We start from the raw sequence: 6,343 nt of genomic DNA on the forward strand, positions 1-6,343 counted from the left end.
CACATGAGGAAAAAAATTAAATTGGAACTCTACCTCACACCATTTATGACTATTAAGATGAACCAAAGATCCGAACACAAGAGCTAAAATTATAAAACTCTTAGAAAAAAATATAACTAAATCCTTATCACCTTGAATTAGGCAGTGGCTTCTTTGATGTGACAAAAAGCACAACCAAGGGAAAAATGAATGCATTAAAATTAAAACATCAAAATCAAAACCTTTATGCTTCAGGCTGGGCGCCATGGCTCATGCCTGTAATCCCAGCACTTTGGGAGGTCAAGGCAGGTGGATCACCTGAAGTCAGGAGTTCAAGACCAGCCTGGTCAACATGGCGAAACCCCGTCTCTACTAAAAATACAAAAATTAGCCAGGTATAATGGCGTGCACCTGTGATCCCAGCTACTCGGGAGGCTGAGGCAGGAGAATTGCTTGAACCCAGGAGGCAGAAGTTGCAGTGAGCCAAGATTGTGCCACTGTCCTCCAGCCTGGGTGACAGAGCAAGACTCCATCTCAAAAAAAAAAAAAAATGCTTCAAAGAACAGTATCAAGAAAGTGAACAGACAACCCACAGAATGGGAGAAAATATTCTGAAAATCATATATCTGGTAAGGGTGCACTGTTCAGAATATAAAGAACTCATAATTCAACAATAAAAATCCAATTTAAAAATGGACAAAGGATTTCAATAAACATCAAAGAAGATATACAAATGGCCATAAGCACATGAAAAGATGCTCAATGTAATTAGTCATTAGGGAAATACACATCAAAACCAGGTGATACCACTTCACTAGGATGGCTGTAATTTTTTTAACGAATGGACAAGAACAAGTGTTAGGACATGGAGAAATTGGAACCCTCATACTCTGGTGATGGGAATTAAAAATGTTGCCACTACTTTGGGAATAGTTTGGCAGTTCCTCAAGAGGTTAAACATAAGTTTACCATATGACCCAGCAATTTCACTCTTAGATATATACCTATGTAAATTGGAAAATACATTCACTCAAAAACTTGTGCACAAACGTTCATAGCAACATTATTCATAATGACCAAAAGTAGAAACAACACAAATGCCCATCAACTGGTGAATGAATGAACAGACTATGGTGTATCCATACAATGGAATACTATTCAGCCATTAAAAGGAATGAACTACTGATTCATGCTACAAATTGATGAACCTTAAACACATTATATGCTAAGTGAAAGCCACATTTTATATAATTCCATTTATATGAAATGTCAATAATGGGCAAATCCATAGGGAAAGAAAATAGATTAATAGGGGCTGGGGACTGGGACAGTGGAGATTGACTGCTAGTAAGTATGGAGTTTATATTTGGAATGATGAAGATATCCTGAAGTAAAATAGTGGTGATGGTTGTACAACTTTCTGAATATGCTAAAAATCACCAAATTATATGCCTTAAAAGTGAATTTTATGGCATGTGAATCAAATCTCAATTTTTAAAATGGGAAGGAATAAGTACAGTTGTTCCCCCTTATCTGCTGGGGATACATTCCAAGACCCCCAGTGGAAACCTGAAACAATGGATTGTGCCAAACCCTATATACACTCTATTTTTTTTCTATGTATACATACCTATGATAAAGTTTAATTTATAAATTAGGCCCAGTAAGAGACTAACAACAATAATGAAATAGAACAGTTATAACAATATGCTGTAATAAAAGGTATGTGACTGGTCTCCCAAGATACTGTACTATTCTTGCAATAATGTGAGGTGATAAAATACCTACATGACAAGAGGAAGTAAAGTGAATGAGGTAGGCATTGTGACATAGTTTTAGGCTACTATGGACCTTGAACACCAGCATCATAATAATGATGATCTTATAACCAAGTTGGCTACTAAGTGACTAACAGGTGGGTAGCATATACAGCATGGATATACTAGACAAAGAGATGATTCCAGGCACGATGGAACAGAGTAGCATGAGATTTCATCATGCTACTCAGGACAGCCCGCAATTTAAAACATGAATTATTTCTAGAATTTTCCATTTAGTATTTTTGGACCAAGGTTGACCACAGGTAACTGAAACCACAGAAACCGAAACTGCAGGTAAGGGGAGACTATTGTAAAATTATATTCACAGACAATATGATTGTGTGCATACAAAACCCTATGGAATATATAAAAAAGGTAAGAGAGGCCAGGTGTGGGGTGCGGTGGCTCACGCCTGTAATCCCAGCACTTTGGGAGGCCGAGGCGGGCAGATCACCTGAGGTCAGGAGTTTGAGACCAGCCTGACCAACATGGAGAAACCCTGTCTCTACCAAAATTACAGAAAATTAGCTGGGCGTGGTGGTGCATGCCTGTAATCCCAGCTACTTGGGAGGCTGAGGCAAAAGAATCGCTTGAACTCGGGAGGTGGAGGTTGCAGTGAGCCGAGATCATGCCATTGCACTACAGCTTGGGCAGCAAGAGCAAAACTCTGTCTAAAAAAAAAAAAAAAAAAGTACAAGAAATAGTAACTTCATTTAACAAGTGATAAGATACATGCTCAGTATAGCAAAAATCAATTCTATATACTAGCAATAGAAAGTGGAATTGTAAACAATACCATTTATAATGTATCCAGAAACATCTGAAACCTTGGAATAAACTTAACACAAGATGTGCAAGATCTCTGTATTGAAAAACAATAAAATGAGTCCGGGTGCAGTGGGTCATGCCTATAATTCCAGCACTTTGGGAGGCTGAGGCAGGTGGACTGCTTGAGGTCAGGAGTTTGAGACAGCCTGGCCAACATGGCAAAACCCCGTCTCTACTAAAAATACAAAAATTAACCGAGTGTGGTGGTGTGCACCTGTGATCCCAGCTACTCTGGAGGCTGAGGCACAAGAATCACTTGAACCCAGGAGGTGAAGGCTGCAGTGAGCTGAGATCGTGCAACTGCACTCCAGCCTGGGTGACAGAGTGAGACCCTGTCTCAAAAAAAAAAAAAGAGCAAACACAAAACATGGATAGAAGATAATTAAAGAAGACTTAAATAATAGAGAAATATTTTATATTCATGGATGGGAACACTCAGTAATATTATCCTGTCTATTCTTCCTAAATTGATTTGTGGATTTTCCATATCAGAATTCCAGCAGGTTAAGGAATAAAAAACTATGCATTGAGTACAGTGTATACTACTAGGTTGATGGTTGCACCAAAATCTAATAAATCACCACTAAAGAACTTATCCATGTAACAAAAACCACCTTTTTCCAAAAACTATTGAAATAAAAATACAAAATTATCTCACAAAAAAAAATCCAGCAGGCTTTTTTTTTTAGGACAAAATCCAAAATTTATGTGAAAAAATGAAGGATCTAGAATAGCCAAAATAATCTTTAAAAAGAACAAAATTGGAAGACATACTACCTGATTTCAAGCCTTTTATAAAGTTATAGTAATCAAGACTGTTATTTCCAAAGGATAAACTAGTAGTTAAATAGAACAGATTAAAGTCTAAAAATAGATCTATACATATAAAGTCATTTCATTTTTGACCAAGGCATCAAAGCAATTCAATAAGAAAAAAAATTGATTAATAAATATTACTAAAACAACTGTATAACTATTTAGGGAAAACAAAAAGAACTTCAACCTTTCATCTCCATACCCAGAAATTCAAGATGCCTCCTAGGCCTAACATAAAACCAAGATCCATAAAACTTCTAAAAGAAAACAGAAGAATCTCTTAATAACCTTGGAGTAGGCAGATATTTATTGCATGAGACATAAAAAACACTAACCATAAAAAGAAAAAAATTGAAAGATTGGAGTTTATTGAAATACTTGCTCTTCAAAGTTACCATTAAGCTACAGACTGGGAAATATTCACTACATATGTATCTGGCAAAGGACTTCTACAAGCTAACAATAAAAATAGTTATTAACAATAACTCATTTAAGCTAATAGCAAAGACATGAACTTTCCCTTCATGAAAGATATACAAATGGTTAATAAATACATTTAAAAATTCCTGAATATCTGTCACAGATGATAAGATCTTGAAGAAAATCCTAAAGATTTCACAAAACAGAACTAATGAATGAATTCAGAAAGTAGCAGGATACAAAGTCAACACACAAAAATCAGCTCTTACTATTTATACACTAACAACAATCTGAAAAGAAAATTCCAAAAGTATCATTTTGATGTATGATAACATCAAAAAGAATAAAATGCTTAGGAATTAACCAAGGAGGTGAAAGACTTACACATGCAAGCTACAAAACATTGCAAAATAAATTAAAGAAGATATAAATAAATGGAAACACATCTATGTTCATGGATTGGAGCAGTATTAAAATGTCAATACTGTATGAAACAATCAACACATTATGCAATCCTTATTAAAATCCCAATGACAATTTTTGCAGAAATGGAAAAATCATCCTAAAATTCATATGGAATCTCAAGGGAACTGAAATAGTCAAAACAATCTTGAAAAAAGAACAAGGCTCAAGTACTCACACTTACTGATTTCAAAACTTACTACAAAGCTATAGTAATTAAAACAGTGTAGTATTGGTGTAAAGACAGACATAGACCAATGAAATAGAATGGAGAGCCTAAAAATAAACTCCCTCATTTATGATCAAATAGTTTTTGATAAGGGTGCCAAGACCATTCAATGGGGAAAGGACAGTCTTTTCAACAAATAGTGCTGGGAAAACCAGACCCAGAATGAAGTTGAACCCTTACCCAACACCATATACAAAAATTAACTCAAAATGGATAAAAGACATAAACATAAGACTTAAAACTATAAAACTCTTAGAAGAAAACACAGAACAAAAGCTTCATAGCATTGGATTTGACATTGATTTCTTGGATATTAAACCAAAGGCCTAGGCAACAAAAGAAAAAATAGACAAATTTCACTTTATGAAAATTTTAAAATTTTGTATATCAGATGACACTATCAACAGAGTAAAAAGGCAAGCCACAGAACAGGAGAAAATATTTTCAAGTCATATCTGATAAGTGATTGATATTCAGAATATATAGAGAACTCCTAACAAAGAATACAATTTTAAAATGGGCAAAGGAGGCCGGGCATGGTGGCTGATGCCTGTAATCCCAGCACTTTAGGAGACCAAGGGGGGCAGATCAGTTGAACTCAAGAGTTCAAGACCAGCCTGGACAATATGGTAAAACCCCATCTCTACCAAAAATACAAAAAATTAGCCAGGCATGGTGGTGCTTGCCTATAATCCCAGCTACTCAGGAGGCTGAGATGGGAGGATCACTTGAGCCTGGGAGGCAGAGGCTGCAGTGAGCCAAGATCACACCACTGCACTCCACCCTAGGTGACAGAGCAAGACTCCATCTCTAAATAAGTAAATAGATGGCAAGGGACACGAATAGACATTTCTCCAAAGAAAATATACAAATGGCCAATAAGCATATGAAAAAATGCCCAATTTAACTAATCATTAGGATGCAAATCAAAAGTATAATGAGACACCACCTCACACTCATTAGGGTGGCTACTATTTAAAAAAAATATTAGCAAGGATGTGGAAAAATTGGAATCCTTGTGCACTGTTGATGGGAATTAAAATAGTAGAGCCATTACAGAAAACAGTATGGAGGCTCCTCAAAAAATTAAAAATAGAGTTATATAATCTAGCAATTCCATTTATGGGTATATACCTAAAATAATTGAAAATACGTCTCTCCATACTCAGAAATGGAGCTAGAAAAAAAAGAGATTTGCACACCCATGTTCACAACCAGCATTATTCACAATAGCTAAAATGTGGAAACATCACAAGTCTCCATCCACAGATAAATGAATGAGCAATATAGTATATACATACAATAGAACAGTGGTCCCCAACCTTTTTGGCACCAGTTTCGTGGAAGACAATTTTTCCACAGATTGATGGGTGGGGGGGTGGTTTCAGGATGATTCGGGCACATTACATTTGTGTATTTTATTTCTATTATGACACTGTAATATGAAATAATTATACAACTCACCATAATGTAGAATCAGTGGGAGCCCTGAGCTTGTTTTCCTGTAACTAGATGGTCCCATCTGGGGGTGATGGAAGACAGTGACAGATCATGATTCTCATAAGGAGCATACAACCTCGATCCCTCACATGCACAGTTCACAACAGGGTTCGCACTCCTATGAGAATCTAATGCCGCCGCTGATCTGACAGGACGCAGCGCTCAGGCGGTAATGTGAGCGATGGGGAATGGCTGTAAATACAAATGAAGCTTTGCTTGCTCACCTGTTGCTCCCTGCTTTGCAGCCCAGTTCCTAACAGGCCATGGAATGGTACTGGTCCATATTATT

Source organism: Homo sapiens, chromosome 12 (genome assembly GCF_000001405.40).
Source record: "Homo sapiens chromosome 12, GRCh38.p14 Primary Assembly".
Classification (NCBI taxonomy): Eukaryota; Metazoa; Chordata; class Mammalia; order Primates; family Hominidae; genus Homo; species Homo sapiens.